A 25,797-nucleotide genomic window follows, 5' to 3' on the forward strand; every position below is an offset into this window, starting at 1 on the left:
GGTTGAGGACAGAGTGAAAACGCATAAGCCGACCCTGTCAAGGGAAGGTGTATCCCCCGATCCTGACTCCTCCACCCAGGCGTGATGAGGGCTACGGGCTCTGCCTTCCCGAGAAGGTATTTGAAAGCCTTCCTCCTGGGCTTCCAAAGGGCTTCTGCATTTCACTTTCCTGCTGCCAAAGCAGTCTCTTCAGGTCGGTCCATTTTGGTTTTTATTCTCCGTTTCCAGGTAGGTGGGTGGCCAGTGTCAGAGCTTCCGGAGTGCGTTTGGGCTTGGCTGGGCCTGCTCCCCATCGCTGCTCTTCCTCCAGGGCAGGGTCCATGGAGGCAGCCCTGGGTAGGGAAGGCTCTGCGGGGATGCACTGGCCGCTTCCCCCTTGTCTGACCCTCCCATTTTGTGTTCTCTGCAGCCTGTGATTGCCACCCTGTGGGTGCTGCTGGCAAAACCTGCAACCAAACCACCGGCCAGTGTCCCTGCAAGGACGGCGTGACGGGTATCACCTGCAACCGCTGCGCCAAAGGCTACCAGCAGAGCCGCTCTCCCATCGCCCCCTGCATAAGTATGTGTGGGGCACCCTGCTTTTCAAGTCTCTGGCTTTGTGGGGGACAGTGAGCTTTTGAGGATGCTAGTCACTGATGTTCAGTGGGTTCCTTTTTTGGTTGGTTGAGTCTCACTGTGTCGCCCAGGCTGGAGTGCAGTGGCACGATCTCAGCTCACTGCAACCTCTGCCTCCCAGGTTTAAGTGATTCTCCTGCCTCAGTCTTCCAAGTAGCTGGAATTACAGGCGCAAGCCTTCATGCCCCGCTGATTTTTGTCTTTTTAATAGAGATGGGATTTCGCTGTGTTGGCCAGGCTGGTCTTGAACTCCTGACCTCAGGTGATCCACCCACCTTGGCCTCCCAAAGCGCTGGGATTAGAGGCATGAGCCACCGCGCCTGGCCCATTCAGTGGGTTCTGTCTTCAATGTGCATTCCTGCATTCAAGGCCTCATGCTCAGTGAGTCCACGTGGGAGACCCCCCAAGCTCATAGAGTTCTTGCAGAAGCCACTGGGGGCTCAGCAGAGCCAGCCTGTCTGAGGCTGTCTATCCTGACAAACACTGAGTCTCCTGTTTCTGGGGAAAAGCAAGCCCCTCTCCTCAGCACTGGCCCCATTCTCACTGTCCACCTGGACCCTGGATCTGGGTGGGCCCATTCCAGGAGTGCTGTTGTCACTATTGCCGGAATGCCGGCATTCCCCCTGCCCCTGGTGGGTTCAGAACAGAAAGGACGGACAGCCCAGGGCCTTCGAGAGGAGCTGGGCAGGGCTTCCATGCACGGCACCTGTGTCCCTAATGAAGGATGATAGCAACCCTGAGGCGTTCCGTACAGCTGTTCGCAGGGGCTCGCTAATAGCAAATGACCAGGGTCCAAGCCTTGGTAGAGGGGGCTCAGCACCCATCCAGGGCAGAGCAGGTTGAAATAGCTTCACAACAACCTCCAATTGTCAGCCTCACAGTTTGTCAAAATCCTTCTGTCCATCCAGATTCTGCAAGGTGAACATTTTTAGACAGCTGGGAGGAAATCTGGGGTTCGGAAAACATGGGGGGAAAGCTGAGGTCTCCCGTCAGGGAATTAGGAGTTCTCAGGTTGCTCAGAAATGGTTGGAACCAACATTTCAAATTCCCAGGTGGAAAAATCAAGCCTAGACACGAGAGCTGGTGTTTCTGAATCAGAGGCTGAAGCCTTGGGAACTCTCATTTCCCAGCCTGTGCCTTCTCTCCTCCTCTAACAAAGGGCGGGCTGATGCCTGGCGAGAGCATTGTCCCTCCTTGGACAACCTGGGGCTCCATCCTGGAATTTTCGCTTGCTCTTCCCGAGGGAAGAGCTACAGGTGCCCAGACAGTGCCTGGGGGACTCGTGCCCTGTTTTGTCCCAGCTTGGGCAGCCATGGGCCCTGTGTGTGCATCCCAGAGCCAGGCTGACCTCAGGCACTGAGGTTGGGTGGTCACAATGACTCTGTGGCCATTGGCTTCGGCTCCATTTGTGGACTTGCAGGATTAGACTGGACCATTCAGATGTTGCCTCCAGGATGTTCCTGCTGGGACCAGGTGGCTTTTTAGGGCCAGCTTCCTAATAACCCATTGTGACAGGGCACCTATGGTTTGTTGTTGCTAATACAGTTGCCTGGGAGCAAGATTTGACCCCAAATTGAGGGCTGTGTCCCCCACTTGTTCTTCCTAAAGGAGCAGAGGATGCCTCCGGTGCCTCTCAGATTTGCCCCCGGCCTGAGTAGCCCATGTCCATCCACCAAGCCTCAAGTCCTAGCTCATCTAGAATCTAGGGAGTCAGAGTTTTACCGCAAAGAATCAGATGGTGGCTAGAGTCAGTGGGGTTCATGGTCACTCACCAGGGGAAGTGAGTCCCTTCCTCTTAGGGACTCCTGGTCCATGGTTTGGCCTTGTTCAGAAAGAGGAAGCCTGAGCTTCAGTGCCAGGCTGCTGAACCGATGAGCAGTGGGGACTGGCTGAACCGCCTCTCTTTTCTTGAGCACAGGGTGGGGTCTGGGAAGTAGTAGGAACCAACTGCTTTTTAAATATTTATTATTATATATACTTTTTGAGACAGGATCTTGCTCTGTTGCCCAGGCTGGAGTGCAGTGGTACCATCATAGCTCACTGCAACCTCAAACTCCTGGGCTCAAGGAATCCCCCTGCCTCAGCCTCCTGAGTGGCTGGGACTACAGGTGCGTGCCACCACGCCTGGCTGATTTGTTTTATTTCTTGTAGAGGCAAGGTCTTGCTTTGTTGGCCAGGCTGGTTGCAAACTCCTGGCCTCAAGCCATCCTCCCCAAACGTGTTGGGCCCCAAACGTGTTGGGATGACAGATGTGAGCCCCTGCACCTGGCCAGAGTGCTATATTAGATAGAGAATAATCAAAACGATCACATGCTTTTATGAGGCCCTTGGATCTGCACTCTCAGTCCCATTCTGCCCATTAAGAAAATGCCTTAGCGCTTGAGATGTGAGGCTGTAGGAACCTGGGCCGTGCTGCCAACACTTCTCTGCACGTGGGAGAAACCTTTCCCTTTGGGCAGGTTCCCAGCCCCTTGCGTGCTATCCTGCCATGGATCCTTCTCCACCTGTGAGTTGAGCTTAGAGATGAGCAGGGCCCAGGTAGCCACATCACGATGAGCAGAGTGGCCTGGGGAAGCCTCTCTCCATACCCGCAAGGGTGGAGCTGAGTTGACGCCAGGCCCAGGGGGTGGGGGCAAGGCCAGGCTCTGTGTTGCCGCCTCACTCCTGCCTTCTCTCCACACCCCCCTGCCAGGTGAAAGGAGAAAAACGCCACGTGCCCAGGATGCCGCTGCCAGCTTCTGCTCTTCTGACTTTTCTCCTCTTGAGCCAAGGAGTGGGAAACGGAGGGGAGGGTCCCAGGAAGTTGGGAGGAGTCTGTGCTGGGCTCATTCTAAAGTCAAAAAATCATGTCGTCTTACCTTGTTTTCTCTCCTCCCCTCGCCCCCGTCTTGAACCTCACAAAGAGATCCCTGTAGCGCCGCCGACGACTGCAGCCAGCAGCGTGGAGGAGCCTGAAGGTAAACGGCCCCCTTCGCTTCTCATTTCCCGCTTTTGCTGGGTGGTGGGGTGGTGGGGTGGGTTAATGGGGAAGGGGCATTGGAAAGCCCAGACTCCTCTAACCACTGTCCGGGCTCTGCTCCGTATGAGTGGCATCCTGGGTTGCATTGAAGAAGCTGGAGCTATAGGACACTATTTTGTGGCTTTCCCTCTGAGAATCAAATGGAGGAGATTTTAATGATGCCTCTCTCCCAAGCCTGGAACCCTAAAAACTGAGCTCCTTCTACTTGTCCACCAGCTGCCCGCCAGCCCAACACCTTCCAGGCTGAGGGGTTGTCACTCCTTCCTGGGGCTGCAGAGAAGGAAGGAGCCAGATGCTGGGGATACAGAAGGAGGCTTGGGCACAGGGTCGCACAAGCAGAATGCAGGGGGCCCAGGAGCTGGGCGTGGGGGAGAATCACATCTTCATTTTCATTCGCCTCTAACTAAAAATTTAGCATTTCCTCCATGGCAAAGAGAGGCCGCAGACCGCAGCATGCGGCCAAGCCTGCACCGTGGTCACTGGCGGAAGTCACAGCGGTTTACACATCACATTCTAGCTGGTGCAGATATCATAAATATCGTTCATGCTGGTTATTGCTTCTCAAAACGACAGAAGTTACTAGACCTGCTGCTAGATCCTGATTTATAATCATTAATAAAGAAGCACTCGCGTAACGTAACCATACCATCAATCTGGGTCTTTAAAGATATTTGGGCAGCAGCATTTCAGTATTATTAATTTCCTTTGTAGACCTGTATATTTTATTTTAGCATGGGGAAATGTTTGTCTGAGGAAGGGTCCACAGGCTTCACCAGTCCTTGGCACAAGAAATGTTGCATAGCTCTGGCTGTCGGCACTCAGAGTGTACCGAGCCCTGCCAGATGCCCTGCTGAGAGCATCTCAGGCCTGCACCCAGAGTCCTGGTCCTGGGATCACACAGGACTTTTGTGTACTGGTACTTGGGGTAGAAGAGGGCAGAAAGTGACAGTGGGGCACCCCAGCATGGACATTCATGCTGGTGCTGGGGACTCTTTGCCTCCCCCAGAAAGGACTGTAGCGAGGGATGGGGGAGCTTGCAAACCCATGTGGCCCCCTGAATATTTTAGGATACAGACTGGATTTTGGAGAGTATTGGCAGTGCGCTGGAAACTTGAGGGAAGACAGATTCGGCACTTGCACAGGCATGGTCCACAGCCAGCAAACAGGAAAGGACAGAAATGCGTTTCAGGGAGTGCCAGAGGCAGCTCTGGGAAAGCCAAAGACAGTTGAGTCTTGCGTTGTTTGCAGAGCCTTTAGGGACTTTTGGTTGAGCCCCATGCAGGGGAAATGGCGAAGAGAAGGGATTGAAGGAAGCAGCATGACAGGGAGACTGGATGACAGAGCTAAGGTGGGAGATGAGGAAGCTCTCTCTGTCACAGCACAATTCAAAGGAACATCCTAAATTACTTCAGCTCTAGGGGAGAGCAGTTTTGAAGGTAGAAGACACTTAAATGAAACTTCGATTCTTGCTCTCTTTGATGTGACATTTGTCCTTGCCTAACTGAGACTCACCTGGACAAGATTTTAAGGCTGTGCACACCGCGGGGGGCTGAGGCTTCCGAGCAGGGGCTGTGTGACAGCTCATGCAAGGGCAAGACAGACCTCAATGATCTATCTCTCCATCTCCGTCTTTGTCTCTCACTCCCCCCATTTCTCTAGTCCTTGTAGCTTGACTTTGAGTTTCTCACAAACCCACAAACCCTTGATTTTGAATTTTTCCCCTTCCAAGTCAGAAATGGGCAAATGGGGAAAAATGTGGAGGGGAGGGATCTCATGAGGTTTCTACATAGGCTACAAGAAGCTGGTATAAAACTTCCGAGGTTCTTGGCTCCGCCAGACAAAAGATTCCGGAGCAGCCGCTTATAAACACTGGCAGCCTCCTTTTTTGAAATGTCTTCTTTGAGTTGTTTAACTTTTCGGACTGCTTTTGATTTTGTTACTGTTTATTTCCTTTCCTCATTCTGAACCTTTAAAAGCATGGTTTAAACCGAAGCGAGCAGTAAATAAACACCCTTATAAAATATCTTCCTCAGAGAGAGGCTGAGTGAGCAGGTTGGAAGCCTGTAGCAATGTTTGTAGCTTTGACCAGACCTGCGCTGCCCTACTCTGGGGGTCCTCGGATGCCCAGGGTGTCTGATGCTCTCCCCAGAGAACCGGAGCCATCTCTGGGACACAAGTGCTGGACCGTGGGGCCTCCTACCACAGGGAGGCTGGGTATGCCTTGTCTCAGCGTCTGAGACATTGCAGGCAGGAGGCCAGGAGGGCCCCCTGGGAAGCGGGGCCCGGGAGCTCAGCGCTCTCAAACCTGTCCACTCTTGCCGTGTTTGAATAGGGGAGGCCTCTGTGCCAGGCTGCCTGAGAAAAGCTTGTTTACTTTTGCCTGCGTACCAGAGGAGAATTAATAAGCTGAGAATTTGTTCTGAAAGCTGATGGACATAACCTTCCCCTGAACTCATCCCCTTGAAGGGCCAGCTCACTCAGGGAATGTTCTTTACCTGCTCACAAAGCTAGCTGGTAAGCCGTCATGGGGCAGGGAGGTGAGGAACGTAGTGTCTGTGGGGGTCTGGGGCCGGGTAGGCCAGGAGGGAAACAGGGAGGAAAGGAGAGAGGGACCACCCACTCAAAAAGGGCATGGTACCCAAGGCTCCCCTGGCACTCACCTACTTGTTGGTTGTAGAGACCTCAGCACTCAAGGAAAAAAGACACCTGCCTTCTCTCCCTGTACCACCCCTTCCCCACCTATCAACTCAAGGGGAGTTCTTGATTTGCAAATTGTTTGTTTGGTTTTGTGGTGGCCATTTGGTTTGGTGGGAGGAGTCTGGTATGGAGCCAGGAGACCTGGGGTTTGCCCTGCACTGACTCTGAGGACTTGGACAATGCAATGGCGTCTCCTTTCTGCCTTCTGGAAGAATGAAGGGGTGGACCCAGTGCTCCACAGGCCCTTCCCTCCCTGGCTGGCTGTGGCAGGAGTGAGCTCCTCCTGCTGGGGTTTCCTCTTCAGAGGCACCTGCTTGTTCTCGGTCCGCCCCTGAGGATCCACTTCTCCCACATCCCAGGCAGAGGCCTGTGGGCGGAGGTGCTGGTAAGTATTTAGCAACTGCCTGGGGCAGGAGGTGGGGCCAATGTGTAGCATCTGCCACTTCCCTTGGTGTCAATACTCCCTCCCTGGCTGGTTTCTGGCTACCCAATGAGATGTCATTGAATGTGAAGTTGGGAGAGGTGCATGACTGGCCCTCAGAGCCCTTGGCAGCTGATTCCACCTCACCACTGCCCATGGGCCTTCCAGCAGAAACAGAGCAAAGAGGTCCAGAGGCAAGAAAGGCTGCCTTTGATGGCCTCCTTGGTTTGAGGGATCACAGCTGCCTTTGCGTGGAAGCTGGACCCAGGGCTCTGGGGTTACAGGAGCATGGAGCCAGCCAACTTCTGGGCTCCCTCCACCTCCCAACAGGGATCCCGGGTCCTCTCTCCTAACTCTGTCTTCACGAGGCACTCACCCCATCGGGGCCTTACCTGGTACCTTTGGCTAACTGCCCCAGCAGCCCCAGCCTGGGGTGGGAGTGGCTGCCAAGGGCACCCTTGCACATTACCTTGATGGTAGTCTGAAAGGAAAACTCCACAGAGCCCGGCAGCTGAACCTCTCCGAGAAGCTCCACACTCAGGTGCTACCAGGCCTGTGTGGTGGGGGTGGGGGTTGACCTTAGAGAAGTCACTTCCGGTGGCCTCTCGGCACCTCCACTTTTTCACGGAAGGAAGTTGGGTTTATGTAGACCTGCAGCCTGGATAAGCATGGATTATTCTCTTGTTTAGGCTTTTGTTTGCCAAGATAGGGAATAGGTTGGGTGAATACAGGAAAATGAGTTGATGGGACTTGAATGCGGCATTAGCGAGGGGTTGTGGGGAGGGAGAAGAGGGAGAAAAGGGCACTAAAATGGGCACCTGAGGGCTACTTGATCCCTCTCTCGGATTCTTCATTTGTGAAATGGGGTAATCGCAACCCTGCCACTAGGGCTGTTGTGAGGATTAAATGGGATGATCTCAGTAAAGCCTGTGACTCAGTGGAGGGACTGTTCAAAGTTCTTGATTAAAAAAACAATACATTGACATGAAAAATACAAATGCCATGGTATAATGAGAGGTTGAGCCAGCTTCTCCATCCAGAAAGGCGGGATTGGGGTGGGAGTTGCTGGCGTGAGGACAGGCGTGGAGAGTCAGCTTGATTGGGCTTTTGAAGACCTTGGGAAGTCACAAGTTGGACTGCCCGAGGCAGGGAGCAACTGAGGCAACTGCATGGTGGGCTTGTCACAGCCTTCCAGCAGCTCATGGTAGAGCCTGAACCAAGCAGAGAGGTAAGAACTAGAAACCAGTTAAAGGTCAAGAGCTTCACTTCATGATAGCCAAAAGGTGGAAACAGCTCACCTGTCTATCATCGGATGAACAGATACACAGAATGTGGCATATCTATACAGGGACTATTATTTAGCCATAAGAAGAAATGAATGGCCAGGTGCGGTGGCTCACGCCCATAATCCAACCACCTCGGGAGGCTGAGGTGGATGGATTGCTTGAGCCCAGGAGTTTGAGTTTGAGACCAGCCTGTGCAAAATAGTGAAACCTCATCTCTCCAAAAAAAAAAAAAAAAAAAAAAAAACATTAGCCAGGCATGGTGATGCACACCTGTAGTCCCAGCTACTCAGGAGGCTGAGGTGGGAGGGTAACCTGAGCCCAGGAGGTTGAGGCTGCAGTGAGCCGTGATTGCACCACTGTACTCAAGCCTGGGTGACAGATTAAGACCACATCTCAAAAAAAAAAAGAAATGAAGTTCTGACATGTGCTACAACACAGAAGAACCTTGAAAACATCATGCTGATTGAAAGAAGCCAGACCCAAAGGCTGCATATCATATGATTCCATTTATCTGAAATGTCCGGCAAAAGCAAATCCAGAGACAGAAAGCAGATTAGAGGTTGCTAGGGGCCGGGCAGCGGCTGTTTAATAGGTACAGGTTTTCCTTTTTGGGTGATGAAAACGTCCTGGAACTTGATAGTGGTGATGAGTTGTACAATGTTGTGAACAGACTTAATGCCATTGAATTGTACACTTAAAAATGCTAAATCTGGCTGGGTGCAGTGGCTCACGCCTGTAATCCCGGCACTATGGGAGGCCAAGGTGGACAGATCACCTGAGGTCAGGAATTCGAGACCAGCCTTACCAACATGGTGAAACCCCATCTCTACTAAAAGTACAAAATTAGCTGGATGTGGTGGTGCATGCCTATAATCCCAGCTACTTGGGAGGCTGAGGCAGGAGAATTGCTTGAACCTGGGAGGTGGAGGTTGCAGTGAGCTGAGATCACACCATTGGACTCCAGCCTGGGCAATAAGAGTAAAACTCCATCTCAAAAAAAAAAAAAAAGAGTGCTAAATCTTATATATATTTTGCCACAATTAAAAAATAAAAACAAAAAAGTCAAGTGCTTTGGGTCAGAGTCCAAGGGTGAAGTGAGTCTGATTTGTCTGGGGCTGGGGTGAGTGTCCTGGAGACAAGGCACTGGAGCATAGGCAGCAATGGGGGACATGCTTGTCTTCCTGTCGCCTCACTGGGAACCTTTGGAGGGGATGGCGGAAGTCGTCTGTCGTCTTCCAGCCCTTTAGCTGTGGGTGTATGGCTTCGAGTTCTGGCTGCACAGCCTGACCCTCTCTCCCCTTTTGGAGTCATCTTAGAAGGATCTGGTTCCTTGAGTCCCAGGTAGGGAGGCTTCAGTGCTCTTGGTATAGGAGAAAGGGAGCTGTGGGGTCCACAGAGGAGACCACTGACAGGAGGGGGGATCACTGGAGACCGTGCAGACAGCCCAGGCCACTGGTAAACAGGCCCAGTAATTGACCAAGGCACTGGTTTCAAAGGGTGGTATGAAGCGGGATGTTAGGCTGTCCCAGGTTAGCCATTAGATAAATGACCAGTGAAGTCATTAACACACCATCAGATTACTGTTATCCCGAGAGAAGATTAGACCAGACCCAGAATAAAAGATAAATGGATTCTGGCTCAGGGAAGGAGGAGACAACATTTATATACATAAGATGCTTGCTCTGTGCTAGGCACTGTTTCAAATGCTCTACATTATTAACCATTTAATCATCTCTTCCACCCATGGAGCTAGGTACTGTCATCTCCCCCCGACCCCTGTTTTACAGAGGAGTAAACTGAGGCACAGAGAGATGGGTGAGCCCTAGCAAGCAGCATCACTGGGATCCCGGCCGTGGTTGCCTGGGCGCAGAGTCTGTGAGTGCTGTTGGCCACCATGCCATTCCCACAGAAGTTATGTTTTTGTTTGTTTGTTTGAGACGAAGTTTTGCTCTTTCGCCCAGGCTGTAGTGCAGTGGCACAATCTCAGCTCACTGCAACCTCCACCTTCCTGTTTCAAGCAATTCTCCTGCCTCAGCTTCCTGAGTAGCTGGGATTATAGGCACGTGCCACTACGCCTGGCTAATTTTTGTATTTTTAGTAGAGACGGGGTTTCACCATGTTGGCCAGGCTGGTCTCGAACTCCTGACCTCATGATCTGCCCACCTCAGCCTCTCAAAGTGCTGGGATTACAGGGGTGAGCCACCATGCCCAGCCAAAGTTATGTTGTTTGGTCAATTTTAGATAATTAAAAAAAAAAATCCTATGTAGTAACATCCTACTAGGAAAGAAGATAAACTCAAGTATCCACTGAGGGGTGACCTGAAACCAAAGAGACATGGAGGGGCAGCCAGTCAAAAGCCACTGCCTTTTACAGGTGCCAGTTAAAGGGGTTCTGGTGAGTGTGGTTGTTTGGCTCATGGAGCTGGCATGACCAGGGCCACAGGTGGTGAGCACTAGAGAACAGTTAGCAGAGCTCAGACCCTTGGGTCACAAGGTAGCCAGGGTGAGACAGGGCAGACAAATCAGCTAATCCCAGAATGGGTGAGCATAAAGAAACCCAAAACCCCCACTGGCAAAGAATCAGCCGAAGATTGTTAGAACTAATAAGAGAATTCTATAAGGAGCCGTTAAACAATTAACGTACAAAGGTCAGCATGGCCTGTAGTAAGTACTCAGTGAATGCATATCAGTTTTATGATAATGGAAACAAAATCTCAACTAGAATACCAGTAAAAATATGAAACACAGAAATAAATGTAGCAATAAAGTACAGCACATATGTAAAGAAAAGAACAAGACTTTTCCAAGGAACATGAAGAACAGAAGAAAAGGAGGGTCTTGCCACGTTCTGAGAAGACAAGACCCAAAATTGTAAAGCTATCAGTTCGCCCAGAAATAATCTGTATATTAGCATAATTCTAGTCAAAATCCCAATTACATGAAACACGATTCCTAAATTCAGCCAGAAAAATAAATGGGTGAGGATTGCCAATAATTTTTTTAAAAGAAGATTAATGGAGGGTGATTTGCCCTACCAGATATTTAAAGATATTGTAAACAGGATTATTTAAATGAGTGTGGTACTGGTGTAGGAATAGAGAGATCACTAATGCTGAGTAGAAAGTCTAGAAACAGGCCAGGTGCAGTGGCTCACGCCTATAATCCCAGCACTTTGGGAGGCCGAGGTAGGCAGATCACTTGAGGCCAGGACTTCGAGACCAGCCTGGCCAAAATGGTGAAACCCCATCTCTACTAAAAATACAAAAATGAGCTGGACATGGTAGTGAGCGCCTGTAGTCCCAGCTACTTGGGAGGCTGAGGCACGAGAATCACTTGAACCTTGGAAGCGGAGGTTGCAGTGAGCCGAGATCGTGCCACTGCACTCCAGCCTGGGCAACAGAGCAGGACTGTGTCTGGAAAAAAAAAAAATCTAGAAACATACTCAAATGTAAACATAAGAACTTAGCATATGGTAAAGTTGTGACTGTGAGTCAGTGCAGAAAAGAATGAATCAATCAGTAAATGGTCCTGGGAAAACCGGCTATTTATTTTAAAATAATAACAAAATATGCTGTATATCACCAATGGATTAAAGATTTATATACCTTCAGCATATGTCCTTAAATGTTCTAGAATAAAATATATATGAATATCAATGTAATATTGATGTGAGGAAGGCCTTTTAGACATGACACAAATGTCAAAAAGCATAAAAGGAAAGATTTTGAATAAATAATAAGCGGAGCCGGGCGTGGTGGCTCACGCCTTTAATCCCAGCACTTTGGGAGGCCGAGGCAGGCGGATCATCTGAGGTCAGGAGTTCAAGACCAGCCTGACCAACATAGTGAAACCCCGTCACTACTAAAAATACAAAATTAGCTGGGCATGGTGGTGCATGCCTGTAATCCCAGTTACTCTGGAGGCTGAGGCAGGAGAATCGCTTGAACCTGGGAGGCGGAGGTTGCGGTGAGCCGAGATGGTGCCATTGCACTGCAGCCTGGGCAACAAGAGCAAAACTCCATCTCAAAAAATAAGTGGAAAACTTCTGTATCTCAGAAATCTCTATAAGCAAAATAAAAGGCAAACTAAAAGCTGAGAAAAATATATGTGACATGGTTGACCAAAAAGATTAATGTCCTCAATAATAAAGAACTTTTACAGTTCAATAAGAGAGATATCCTAATATGAAATCAGGCTAAAAAAGTGAACTAGAAATTTAGAGAATTTGTACAAATGGCAATATGCATAGGAAGCATTAAACTTACTAGTAATAAAAAATTAACAAGAATACTCTTTTAAAAGCTTATTAGGGATGGAGCATGTGGCTCATGCCTGTGATCCCAGCACTTTGGGAGGCCAACGGGGGAGGATCTCTTGAGTCCAGAAGTTCAAGACCAGTCTGGGCAACATAATGAGACCTTATCGCTACTAAAAAAAAAAAAAAAAAAAAAAAAAATCCAGGGGTGTTGGCACATGCCTGTAGTCCCAGCTATCACGCCACTGCACGGCAGCGTGGGTGACAGAGCGAGACCCTGTCTCAAAAAAAAAAAAAAGTATTAGAGATTAGAGTGACACTGTTTGGAAAATAAAAAGTAATTATTCTCTGTGTTGAAAAGGGTTGGGGAAGCAGGTACCCACCTACTCTGGTGGTGGGAGGGTAACCTGGTGCCACTTTTATGAAGGGTAATTTGGCATTGTGTATCAAAAGGTATCCATGACCCCATCAGTTCAATTCTAGGAATTTAGCCAAAGGAAATAGCAATGTGTGCCAAAATTTAGCTACAGAGATGAATATTGCAGCATTGCTTATAATAACAAAAGAGAGACACAACCTACGTGTCTTTGAGTACAGCTTGAGTTACTCAGCAATGGGATAGCCATATAATGATGTGGGGAGAATATCTAAATGGAAAGATAAAATATAGTGCCAGGTGACAAAAACAAGTGACACAACACATTACACCTGAAGAATTAGCCATATCGGTGGAAAGACTGCTGTACAGGAGCATTTCGCTTAGTTTCTTTCTGTTTGTAGATTTCAGTGGTTCTCAATCAGGGGCTATTGTATGTCTGGAGATATTTTGGGTTGGGGAGGGTGTCGCTGGCATCTAGTGGGTAGAGGCCAGGGATGCAGCCAAGTATCTTGTGTTACGCAGGACAGCTCACGCAACAGAGAAGTACCTGGCCCCAAATGGTGATGGTGCCAAGGGTGAGAACTCCCGTTATACAGAATAAAACCCACACATTCTCTCCAAAAGCATTAAGGAGAGCTGGGGCAGCACCGGGAGACAAACCCGGCTCTTTTATTAGTTATGCACCATGCTGAACTGAATGCAGCTGACGGTTTAGAAAGCTGTTTCCTCGGCCGGGCGCGGTGGCTCACGCCTGTAATCCCAGCGCTTTGGGAGGCCGAGGCAGGCAGATCACCTGAGGTCAGGAGTTCAAGACCAGCCTGGCCAACATGGTGAAACCCCGTCTCTACTAAAAATAAAAAATTAGCTGGGCATGGTGGCACGCGCCTGTAGTCCCAGCTACGCAGGAGGCTGAGGCAGGAGAATCACTTGAACCCTGGAGGCGGAGGTTGCAGTGAGCCAGGATCATGCCACTGCACTCCAGCCTGGGCGACAGAGTGAGACTCTGTCTCAAAAAAAAAAAAAAAAGAAAAAGAAAAAAAAGCCGTTTCCTCAAGTCAGCCACATTTCCCATGTGACCATGTTAAAAAAGGACTGAGCTTTTATGTGCCTGGTCATTTTTCCATGGTAAAACTTAGCACAACCTAAAGTGAAATGTACCCCAAATTCCAATTTGTACTATACATTAGTATATTCTGAATTAATGTGATTCAACTCATTATAAACTTTTTATTTTGAAAAATGTTGAGAAGTAGGGAGAAAAGCATGGGGGACAGTTACATTCTCATCACCCAGACTTAGGAATTCACATTTTGCGGTATTTGTTTCAACTACCTTTTCTGTTAAAATATTTGTAAAGAAGTTTAGACGTTATGACATTTCAGCCCTAAATATTTTGGAATACACCTCCAAAAACTGAGAACATCTCAATGTCATTATTATACCTCACAAAATTAACAATGCATTTCTTAATATCATTTGATACATAGTCCATATTCAGCACTTCTTGGTTCTCCCCCAAATGTCTCCTCACAGCTGTTTTGCTCGCTGGTTTAATTATTAAAACATTATGCGGCTGGGCACGGTGGCTCACGCCTGTAATCCCAGCACTTTGGGAGGCTGAGGCAGGTGGATCACCTGAGGTCGGGAGTTTGAGACCAGCCTGACCAACATGGAGAAACCCCGTCTCTAGTAAAAATACAAAATTAGCTGGGCATGGTGGCGCATGCCTGTAACCCCAGCTACTTGGGAGGCTGAGGCAGGAGAATCACTTGAACCTGGAGGTAGAGGTTGCAGTGATCCAAGATGGTGCCATTGTACTCCAGCCTGGGCGACAAGAGTGAAACTCCGACTAAAAAAAAAAAAAAAAAAAAAAAACATTATGCAGGTTGGGCGCAGAGGCTCACGCCTGTAATCCCAGCACTTTGGGAGGCCAAGGTGGGCAGATCACTGGAGGTCAGGAGTTTGAGACCAGCCTGGCCAACATAGTGAAACCCCATCTCTACTAAAAATACAAAAATCAGCTGGACATGGTGGCAGGCACCTGTAATCCTAGCTACTTGGGAGGCTGAGGCAGGAGAATCGCTTGAACCCAGGAGGTGGAGGTTGCAGTGAGCCAAGATTGTGCCACTGCACTCCAGCCTGGGCAATAGAGCCAGACTCTGTCTCAAAAAAAAAAATTATGCAATGTTGTGATATATGAAGGACTCTATTTAGAAATGCATCTGGGTGCCATTCCTGGGCTGCTTTCGAGGATGCAAAGTGGCAATGTAAGATGGAAAGTGTTCCCTGTGTGGTACATGCTGTCACTGTTAACTTCACCTACCGTTAAAGAAGAGGCACTGCCACGTCCAGTCCTGTGGCTTCGTGGAGTGAGTGGTGGGGTCAGAGGGTGTGGAAACGGAAAGACATTCAGCAGTTATTTCAGGTGTTTAAACCGTGGGATTCTCAGTCTCAGCACTGTCGACCTGGGGGCTGGAGATCTCTTTGAGGTGGCAGCTGCCCTGTGCACTGTAGGATGTGAAGCAGCATCCCTGGCCTCTTCCTACTGGATGCCAGCACCTACCCTCTGGCCAGTTGTGATAATTAAGTGTCCCTTGGGGGACAGAGGAGCCTCTGGCTAAGAACCACTGGATCAGACCCAGATTTTCTGACATCAGCCCAGGTTGCTAGAACTCTGGTCCAGGAAAGAAAGCCAGAGCCCAAGCCAAGGGGCCGTGGGACTCTTCTAGTGGGGGGACCTGCTCATTGCCCCTCCGCCTTGAGATCAGACATCCCGTGTGTATTAGGTCAAACCGTGCGGAATTGCTGCTGTATGTGACCATTTCAGACCCACAAAAATGGCAATTTCCTAGAGTTCAGCTTAACATTTACTTCCCCTTGGCCAGGAGAACCTGCTTCTGAGCAGCCTGCACAAGTCAGTTTCCCCTCTCTTCTTTCTCACTCTCTGCTGTCTGTCTCCCTCTCTCTCTCCTACACCCCCTACCCCCACCTTCCTCATTCCCTCATTTTCCCTGGCCTCTTCCCCACCCCCTCGTCCTTTTCCCCTCTTTCTCCTTTTCGGGACCTGCACAAAGGGCTGGGGCAGAGGTCAGGCTGGGGGTGAACAGGGCCAGGCGAGCTCTACCACCCCTCCACCCCTCCACCCTGGGCCTCCATCACCCCAAGGAGCACAGAGAAGCCATTTGCATGGTGGGTTTCAGGAGCCCCATTGTTCCCCTGTCTCTGGGCCTTTGCAGGTGGAGCTGCCACCAGCCTCGAGGAGGATAAAGGGATGAGCTGGGAGGCCAGAGGAGCAAGTGGGGGCGGAATATTTAGCCCTTCTTGGGAGCTCTTCCCACTGGGGGATCAAGGAGCATGGCTGATGGGAACGGGACAAGTGACAGGTGTCAGGGAGAGAGAGGATGGGAGTCCTTGGACCCACCTCCATGTCACACAGCTGTCACAGCGACCTTGCTGGCAGAGGCTGGCAGGGGTGGGGCAGTGCAGGCTGTGGAGCTAGGCTGAGGCAGGGGTGGATGCAGAGAACCCCCAGGTGGCCCAGGCTCAGAGCTCGGCCTGAAACCCCTTGCAGATTCCTGTACAGGTCCTGGGCTGTGGTGGGAGGGGACTTGTAGCAACTGGGTCACACCTGGCCTGAGGCCCTCAGCGTACAGACTCTCCTGCCCCTATTGCAGCGGGCTCGCCTGGCAGAATCTTCACAGCCACTGAACTGGGGTGAGGAAAGCCCCCCTCCAGCCCCAGAGCAGGACCCACAGTGGTCCCTCTAATTACTTAAATACCCTGCCAGATCTAAAACTGCTCCAGACTTAAAGAAATAATAACAACCATCACTGCAATCCTTTACTGGAGATCATGGGTTTTGAGTATTTCACCCCACTCTAGCTAAAGCATTCTGCAAGCCATTTGTTAGTCCTGGAGCCAGTCTTCTCGGTGAAATGAAGGAGCTGGGCTAAAGGATACATTTGGCCCCTTCTCAGCTCAAAATCGCTGGGGCCTGGGAAGGCCTGCTTTGGAGGCCACTTTGGCCACCAGACCCCATCTGCTGTCCTCCCCTGTGCTGCCAGCAGCTGGGCAGGGCCTGGGGTGCAGAGCCAGCCTCGTGTTCTGGGGCACAGCACCCGGGCAATGGGGGGCTGCCTGGGAGGTTCTTTCAGGGCTGTGTTGAAGAAATTGTGGGGAATTTGCACCAAGGAGGGTGCTCAACCCTAGGGTAGGAAAGAAAAGAGGAGAATGGATTGGTGGGGACATTGTTTAGGCAGTCGCCAGGCAGCCTTGCTCTTGTGGACATAGACCCTCAGAGTTGGAAGGAGCAGCACAGTGGTGGTGTGGCAGGGAGGCTACCAGCTGCCGCCTCCTGTGGCTGTCGTGATTATGCTCAGACTGTCCCCAGCCCCACCTCCTGCTGAGCAGGATTTTCCTCTCGGCAGCTCTCTCCCTCTGCTCCTAAAGCTGTTTGTGCGGCCACACAATGCAAGTCTCCTGCCTCTGCCCTGGGGCATGGTTCATGGACCTTGTCTTTGCCATCCAGGGCAGGGCTTCAGGCTTCAGTAAGGGCAGTAGATTGGTGTCTAGGAGGGAGGCGGCCAGTGGGGCATTGCCCCTCCCCATTCCCCCCTCCAGAGAGGTCAGTGCCTTCCTAGAGAAGAGTGTGACAAGTGTCATTTGCACAGTTTTGTGGTCTCTGCTTGAGTACAGTGTATTGTGGGATTAAGGAAAGGAGAAAGCCTTCTATTTGTAGAGATCAGGAATGAAGCAGAGATCTGAAATTATTTGCACAGAGAGGCATGTGAAACTTGGTGGTGTTGGAGCCGGCTCACACCTGTTCACACCTGCTCCCACTGGCTCACGAGGGCCGACTGTGCATCTCTTCCCAATTCTGCATTCAGGGTGTCCTGCTGGGAGTTTGAAATTGGCCATGGTGGGAATATTTACACTTCGGAAGTTGACAAATGGTAAAATCAAAGCATTTTTTTTTTTTAGTTCCCCAGAGAGCCAGTTGTCAGACATTCCTCAGCACAGCATTGTCCAAAAGGCATCCTGAGAGTGAAATTCAGGCTCTCAATACCAGAAGGAACCTAGAGATAGGTCATCCGATCGGGCCTGCACATCTGACAGATGGGGAGACTGAGGCCCAGAGGAGGACAGTGGCTTGTCTTAGGTCATGCAGTGAGTCAATGGCAGAACCGGTATTTCCACTTTACCACGGTCCTTCAAGTAGACCATCCTTTCAAGCAGGAAGCTATGGAGTGACACAGAGGCTTAGCAAAGCTTCCTCCTCCTGAAGAGGGATTAGAAATTCATGACGTGGGCCAGGCGTGGTGGCTCACACCTGTAATCCCAGCACTTTGGGAGGCCAAGGTGGGCAGATCATCTGAGGTCAGGAGTTCGAGACCAGCCTGGCCAACATGGCGAAACCCTGTCTCTACTAAAAATATAAAAAATTAGCCAGGCGTGGTGGAGGGCACCTGTAGTCCCAGCTACTTGGGAGGCTGAGGCACGAGAAACACTTGAACAGAGGAGGTGGAGGTTGCAGTGAGCTGAGATCACAGCACTGCACTCCGGCCTGGGTGACAGAGCAAGACTCTGTCCAAAAAAAAAAAAAAAGAAGGAAGAAAAAGAAAAGAAATTCATGGAAGGGGAAATGGGTTTTAGAGAAGACTGCTTCAAGATTTTCTTCAGGCTGAAGCTGGGCTAGGCATCTACCAGCCTCCCTCTTCCCCTGCCCTAGTCTCCTGGACCAGCCTTCCTTCTGTCCTACGAGGCCACCTCCTTCAGCCCAAGGATTAGGAAGTTGCACTTCAGCATCTAAAAATCTTCCCATGGTCCAAGATACCTTCACAGTAGCTTCTATCTTCACCAGAGAAGCCTCCAAGAAGGTGGTGACCTTTTGGGATTGTCCTGGACTTACCCTTCCCTCTTCTTCTTTGAGGCTAGTTGATGGCTGTGGGTGGGATGCCAGCCATCCACCCAGGTTATCGGGGCCCTGCTGTCTTTGGCTTTAATTCTCCCCAGAACCTCAGGGGGCCCGAGACAGGGATTCTTGTGTGGGTGATTTATTGAGGGGGTGCTTTCAGGAGAAACCAGTAAGGGCATGAGGGAAGCACGAGAGTGCAGGGGAAGAAACTGGGAAAACACAAGGCTGCAGTGGAAGTCTAGCCTCAGCCTGATCACGCGGGAGCTTGGGAATCATATCCAAGAAGTTGTCATATTTACAGGCAAAAGGGCTGGGCAGTGATACCTGCCCAAGTCAGTCAGCCATTGGCTATGTTACATGGGCAAGGGCACCTATAACCTCCCGGATATCTCCAGGGAAAGCAGTGTCCATCCGTCAAGGGCAAACATTCAGAGAAGGGTGCAAGTGTGAGCTGCGTGCAGCTGGGTGCACAGGTCCAGTCAAGGGGCTCTGGGCGGGGCTCCAGCCACCTCTGCTATACTTGGTAGGTGATTTGGTGGGAAGGGAAGTTTTACTGGAATCTGGGGACCATCTGTGGGTTTCTGTTTTGTCCACTCTCCAAGAGCCCTACACTGTAGAAAAACCTGGTGGTTATTCTCTGAGGTCCCATGTCCTCCCTCCTGTGTCCAGCTGGTCTCAGTAATGACAGTCTTACTGATATCTCTCACATCTCTTCTCTAGAAGACCAGAGACCAAGGGGAACTGGAGCGAGAGAATCACAGCCCAGGAGTTCAGGCTCAGCTGTGGATCCTACAGATCCCTAAGTACTGTATCTGACCTTTTGCTGGGAAGATCACATGTAGACCTCCCAGAGAGACTTCCAAAACAGCTCTGACAGACAAAGGACTAACCGCTTTCACCTACGAGGGAGGCCATATGTGTGGGAGGCACCATTGAGCTCCATTCCTGGTACCCACTACCAGCTCCTGTTAGAAGCTGGGGAACAGTGACTTGGGCCCCTTGGGACAAGATAACAGGCATACCACCACGGCTGCACCCACTATTGTCCTAATTCAAACTCTTTCTCTACTTCTCACAACCCTGTATTGGTCAGGGAAGATTATGTGCTGTAACAAACAGCTCAGATAGTATAGTCCAGCTATTTCTTTTTCTTTCTTTCTTTTTGTTTGTTTGTTTGAGACAGTGTTTCGCTCTTGTTGCCCAGGCTGGAGTGCAGTGGCACAATCTCGGCTCATTGCAACCTCCGCTTCCTGGGTTCAAGCAATTCTCCTGCCTCAGCCTCCCAAGTAGCTGGGATTACAGGCACCCACCACCACGCCCAGCTAATTTTGTATTTTTAGTAGAGATGGAGTTTCAACATGTTGGCCAGGCTGGTCTTGAAGTCCTGACCTCAAATGATCCACCCACCTCAGCCTCCCAAAGTGCTGGGATTACAGGCATGAGCCATTGCACCCGGCCCTGCTATTTCTTACTTTATACCACAGTCCATCACAGCCCTGGATGGGTGGCTCCCTTCCAAGCAGTGAGTCAGGGGCCCAGGCCCCTTTCATCACATGGCTCTGCCATCTTCTAGGGCCTGTCATTGTGGGTTTCTCTGCATCCAGCCACAGTCAGGGAAAGAGAACATTGGGAGCTCTTGGGAAACCTATGGACTGGGCCTGAAAGTGTTGAGGATCACTTGTACATGTGTCCCATTGGCCAAGACTCAGTCACATGACCACCCCAACTACAAGGGGGTCGCTGGGTAATGTAGTCTATCTGCCTGGTTGGGCGGGGAATGGAGTAGTGTTTGGTAACAACATATAGTCTTCACTGTAGATCTTCTTTGATCACTCTGCTGACTTCAGGGACATCTGCGGCCACCTGTCATCATGATGTTGCCATTTTGGCATCAGGAAGTGGTGGTGAGCTTTGAGGAGCTTTGTGTGTGTTTGTAGGAAGTAGTTTAGCCCAGTCTTAGCCCCAGGGTGTGCATTCTGCCCAACAGCTGCCTAGATTTGGGTTGTAGGCAAGCTAAGCAAAGGCAACATTGGGTTCCAAGGCATGACCTCATTGGCATTGGCTTAACCAGCCAAGCTAACCGGCTAGCCAACCAGCCGGGTGGACGTTACAGGACTACAAGCATCCTTCTTTCATGACCTTCCCAGGGAGCCCTGCTCAGCTCAGCTGAATCACCCTTCAGTGCTGACAGCAGTTCTAGTCTGTGTCCACTGTTGGCTCTCGCTGGAGAAGCCTATAGAGAGCCAACTGGTTCCCTATTGGGACAGCTTTGTTTTCCCTGCTGAACACAAAATCCCCTGTTCACTGGGAGAGCTGACAAGGAGACCCCATGGGGCTGGCCCGGTGGGAGCAGATACCAATGAATGCAGCGCCCGAATGGCTTCAGCTTATTAAAGGCGAATACACAGGATAACTCTGCCCGCCGAGTGGGAGATAGAATGGAGGGCACAGAGCTGTTACAGCGGATTAGCAGCCGCAGACGGATGGAGGCAGGTGCAGCCTTTTCTGCAATTTGGAAGGGTTTATGAAATACTGATCCTGTGCTCTATAAATCCTTCCCTTGACCTCATCTGGGCTACAGGCTGAAAGTGGGGGATTTCTTGTTCAGCCAGGCTTGATAGTAGCTTTTAGTATTTTCCCTGCTCCCTGCCAACTCCTAGAATTCCCTGGGAATTTTGATAAGAGGATTTATGCATGTGTCCATTTATTCATTTTCTCTTCATTCATTCATCACTGACACATTTACCAAGAGCCTGGGCTAGGTGCTGGGGTTACAGAGCTGAGTAGAACATGGAGTTTTATCCTCAAGGGACTGGTGTACTGTGTGAGAAAGACACAGAAATAGAATATTCTAATTCAGATTGTTAATTGTTAACTAAATCCACACGTCAGCAGATACCAACATAACCTTTGGTGGGCCTGAGCCAGTGGCAGGCGTCACTAAGAGACTGCTAAGTCTTCTGCAGCCCAAGTGAATGAAGCCTCAAGTCCAACAAGGTGTCTTGTTGCCTCTCTGGATGGGCTGCTGTTTTTTTTAATGGCACAGATGGCAGATAATAGAGGACGATACTTAGAACTAGTGGCATAGCTGGAAACTTGAGTTCCTCTAGCAAAAACTCTAGAAAGTTCATCTTATGAGGCAGAATTTGCATCTTGAAGAAGGCGTAGGAGGCTGCTGGCAGGTGTTTCTCTGGCTCGAATGCAGATTTGGTCTCTATGTCTTTTCCTCCTAGAGATGGGAACTCCCTGGGTCAGACACCCCTCATCCAGGGAGGTAGCTCATTTTAGCAGGCAGAAATCTCTGTGCTCTCCTCCTGGGCTTACAGAGCTCATCTCTGCTGTAAGAGTTCTGAACTTACTGTGTGGCTCAAGGTTTTGGTGAGCATATTACCATGAGGAAGAGCATGGAGTGGGTGATTTGGACCTCAGGGCTACCATAAGGCCTGATTTCCAAGGGAAGAGGAACATGAGACCAGAGGGCTCTGAATTAACCCTGTTAACTTGTCCCAAGGGGACTCAGGCGACTGTTCCCCAGCTCTAGCAGGAGCTGGTGCATGTTGGCTTCCAGGAATAGAGCTCAATGGTGCCTCTCACACATATGGCCTCCCTTGTAGGAGAAAGCTGGTTAGTCCTTTGTCCACCAGAATTGTTTTGGAAGTCTCTTGGGAGGCCTATAGGTAAACTTCCTAGCAACGGATCAGATGCACTACTTGGGGATCTGTGGGATCCACAGCCATGCCTGAGCTCCTGGGCTGTGATTCTCTCACGCCAGTTCCCATTGGTCTGTGGATGACAGGGAGTCAGGGAAACAGACTCAGAGGATGCCCTCTAAAACTGGGAAGCAAATATGGAGCAGCAGTTAGAAATCCCGTGTCTGGGGAGTTCTTGGAGGGAGAAGAGATGGTTAAGAAATAAAAGACCGGGCCGGGCGTGGTGGCTCACGCTTGTAATCCTAGCACTTTGGGAGGCCAAGGCGGGCGAATCACAAGGCCAGAAGTTCAAGAGCAGCCTGGTCAATATGGTGAAACCCCGTCTCTACTAAAAATACACACACACACACACACACACACACAAAAAAAAAAAAAAAAAAAAAAAAAAAAAAAAAAACTTAGCCAGGTATGGTGGTACGCACCTGTAGTCCCAGCTACTCAGGAGGCTGAGGCGGGAGAATCGCTTGAACCCGGGAAGCAGAGGTTGCAGTGATCTGAGATCGCACCATTGAACTCCAGCCTGGATGACAGAGTGAGACTCCATCTCAAAAAAAAAGATATAAAAGATGAACTTGGCAACTTGTTGAAGCCTGAGACATGTCCTGCTGAGATGGGCAGAGCAGGGATGAAGTCCAGGCTATCCACTGGCCTCTTGATGCCCTTCAGCCTCTAGGTTCCACACCCTACAGTGGGCTCTTTGTGAGGGCAGCTGCGTCTCTGGCTGTGTTTCTGCTAGCACCTTCCACACAGGGTCATTTGAGTCTGTGGGTACCTGGAGTGTATTGAGAATTCATTACTTTCCTAAAGCAAACCCGATACCTTTATTCTCCATGTGAGAAGGTAGCAGAATTTGGTCTTGCCGGTGGGGGGACTTCAGTATCTACCATGGTGTGACATTGTTGTGGGTTGAGTGGTTCCCCATAAATAGGGTTCCCAGAAACCTGAGACACATTATTCATTGAAATGCCACAAAACTGTAAAAAAAAATTTGGAGTGGAAATCTCTTCCAAATGTATCACCAACTTTTTTGCCTTATTAAGCAATGCACAACAAACATAATTTTACTTTTCAGGATGATTCAGCCACGGCACAAGGAATCGTGCTGTCTGAACAGTCATAGTTACAAATCTTATTCAACTGTTGGGACTGTTTGCCTCTGTTCAAAATGATATTGCGATATTCTGCGTCTGTGTTTCATGGTTTCATAATTTTCTTTTTTTCTTATTTTTTTATTTTTTATTTTTTTGAGATGGAGTCTCTCTCTGTCGGCCAGGCTAGAGTGCAGTGGCGCGATCTCCGCTCACTGCAAGCTCCGCCTTCCGGGTTCACACCATTCTCCTGCCTCAGCCTCCCGAGTAGCTGGGACTACAGGCGCTGGCCACCAAGCCTGGCTAATTTTTTTTATTTTTACTAGAGATGGGGTTTCACCATGTTAGCCAGGATGATCTCGATCTCCTGACCTCGTGATCCGCCTGCCTTGGCCTCCCAAAGTGCTGGGATTACAGGTGTGAGCCACCATGCCCGGCTGGTTTCATAATTTTCTGCCTCTTCTTTGCCCTCTGTTTGCCAGCTGTTCCCTCCTCCTGCCAATGTGTTGATTCCTTTGTGATAGTAGTTTGACTGTTTGAACCTCTTACTGCCTAGTTCTCACCTGTATTCCAGAGAATGAAGATAAACAGATAAGTGGCTCCAGTTTACAACACTTGGAGGTTTCTATCATACCTTCCAAAGAATCTGAAGCACTTTCAGGCTCAACATAGATGTCTGTAAAGTAGGGAGGAAATGGCTGGTCTCTTCAATTCTCATATCAAGAACTGAGGACTGGTTGGGCGCGGTGGCTAACCCCTGTAATCCCAGCACTTTGGGAGGCTGGGGCGGGCAGATCACTTGAGGTCAGGAGCTTGAGAGCAGCCTGGCCAACATGGTGAAACCCTGTTTCTACTAAAAAATACAAAAAAAATTAGCCAGGCGTGGTGGTGGGCGCCTGTAATCCCAGCTACTTGGGAGGATGAGGCAGGAGAATCACTTGAACCCGGGAGGTGGAGGTTGCAGTGAGCTGAGATCATGCCACCGCACTCCAGCCTGGGCATCAGAGTGAGACTCTGTCTCATAAAAAAAGGAAAAGAAAAAAGGAAGAAAAGAAAAAGAACTGAGGACCAGAGAGTCTAGGAAGAGGAAGCAGCATAATGGGGTTTCTAAAAACCATGCCCTCTAAGTTTGAAGGAACCAGGAAGCCTTGGAAGGGGAGGGGCTCCTTCTTCAAAAGTTTTGAAGGCTGTTCTGAGGGTGAAACAGATGGAAGGCTTGTGCTGGGCTGTGCCAGAAAGTGGAGATAAGGCCATCTGTGGGGTGACAGAAGTCAGGTGAGGCTCAGCTGATGGCAGTCCTGTCCAGTCCTAGGATCGGTGATGAGGGAGATTCAGGGAGATTAAGAGAATGGGAATGGCAACAGGAGTGCAAGGATAGACCACCCTTAGTAACCGTTCCTTCCTTCCTTCCCTCCTTCCTTCCTTCCTTCCTTCCTTCCTTTTCTTTCTCTTCTCTTCCTCTGTTTCTCTCTCTCTCTCTCTCCTTCTCTCTCTCTTTCTCTATCTCTTTCTCTCTCTCTCTCTCTCTTTCTTTCTGACAGAGTCTCTGTTGCCCAGGCTGGAGTGCAGTGGCGCCATGTCAGCTCACTGCAGCCTCCACCTCCTGGGTTCAAGTGATTCTTCTGCCTCAGCCTTCTGAGTAGCTGGGACTACAGGCGCCCACCACCACACCCTGCTAAGTTTTGTATTTTTTAGTAGAGACAGGGTTTCGCCACACTGGCCAGGCTGGTCTCGAACTCCTGGCCTCATGTGATCTGCCTGCCTCGGCCTCCCAAAGTGTCGGGATTACAGGCGTGAGCCAAGCAACCCTTTCAGTTCCAAGGGGGTGGATTCTGTGGCCTGCGTCCAGTCTATCAGTCGGTGGCAAATGGCAGTGAATCGGGGATAGCAAGGATGCATCAGCTTCCCCACTAAGCAACTCCCTACCCTTCACATACCAGGCAGAGACACAGCTACCCTCCCAAATAGCCACTGTAGGATGCAGAGCTTGGAAGTTGAAGGACGTCAATGAGGAATACCTTACTGAGTTCTGGGCCCCATTAGGGTGCTGTGGTTGATTAGTGATGCCTGCCATGAGGTTGGGTAGAGTAACCGGTGGTCTGTGTGCTGCCTGTTCACTTGCTTTCCATCAGTGCTGTCAACCCTCATTTTTTTTTTTTTCTGAAGATATGTTGCTCATTATCAGGCCTTTCAAAATAGGAACTCCAGGTTTCACACTTTCTTCTTTTCTTTCTCTTCTTCCCTGCCTGGGCTTTCATTACCATTAAGAGCCAGAACTTATCTGCCATTTGGATGAGGAACTTCAGAAACAGGTGCAGGAAGAGAAACTTGCTCTCTCAAGTGCAGCAACTTCTTGAATGTGGCCCACTTCCCCTGGAAGGCTGTGAACACCACTTTATCTCCTAAAGGCTTG

At 50.1% G+C, this 25,797-nt stretch overlaps 1 protein-coding gene across 3 annotated transcripts in view, besides 3 other annotated features; it reads left to right on the forward strand.

Annotated features, from left to right (window-relative positions):
- NTN1 (netrin 1) overlaps positions 1-25,797 on the forward strand; it is a 240,914-nt gene that overhangs the window by 176,311 nt on the left and 38,806 nt on the right. For all 3 annotated transcript variants that reach the window (XM_047437096.1, NM_004822.3, XM_006721595.4), the window contains exons 4-5: positions 410-559; positions 3,519-3,572. In XM_047437096.1, coding sequence (XP_047293052.1) covers positions 410-559; positions 3,519-3,572 — 204 coding nt within the window. The remainder of the gene's footprint in view (positions 1-409; positions 560-3,518; positions 3,573-25,797) is intronic.
- Positions 699-1,200: an enhancer, noted in NCBI's record as "H3K4me1 hESC enhancer chr17:9083413-9083914 (GRCh37/hg19 assembly coordinates)". NCBI's record gives its function as "activates a minimal SCP1, AML or CMV promoter by ChIP-STARR-seq in primed H9 embryonic stem cells {active_cell/tissue: H9 hESC(primed)}" and the evidence as "EXISTENCE:reporter gene assay evidence [ECO:0000049][PMID:30033119]".
- Positions 3,427-3,926: an enhancer, noted in NCBI's record as "H3K4me1 hESC enhancer chr17:9086141-9086640 (GRCh37/hg19 assembly coordinates)". NCBI's record gives its function as "activates a minimal SCP1, AML or CMV promoter by ChIP-STARR-seq in primed H9 embryonic stem cells {active_cell/tissue: H9 hESC(primed)}" and the evidence as "EXISTENCE:reporter gene assay evidence [ECO:0000049][PMID:30033119]".
- Positions 16,489-17,410: an enhancer, noted in NCBI's record as "H3K4me1 hESC enhancer chr17:9099203-9100124 (GRCh37/hg19 assembly coordinates)". NCBI's record gives its function as "activates a minimal SCP1, AML or CMV promoter by ChIP-STARR-seq in naive H9 embryonic stem cells {active_cell/tissue: H9 hESC(naive)}" and the evidence as "EXISTENCE:reporter gene assay evidence [ECO:0000049][PMID:30033119]".

Source organism: Homo sapiens, chromosome 17 (assembly GCF_000001405.40).
Source record: "Homo sapiens chromosome 17, GRCh38.p14 Primary Assembly".
Classification (NCBI taxonomy): domain Eukaryota; kingdom Metazoa; phylum Chordata; class Mammalia; order Primates; family Hominidae; genus Homo; species Homo sapiens.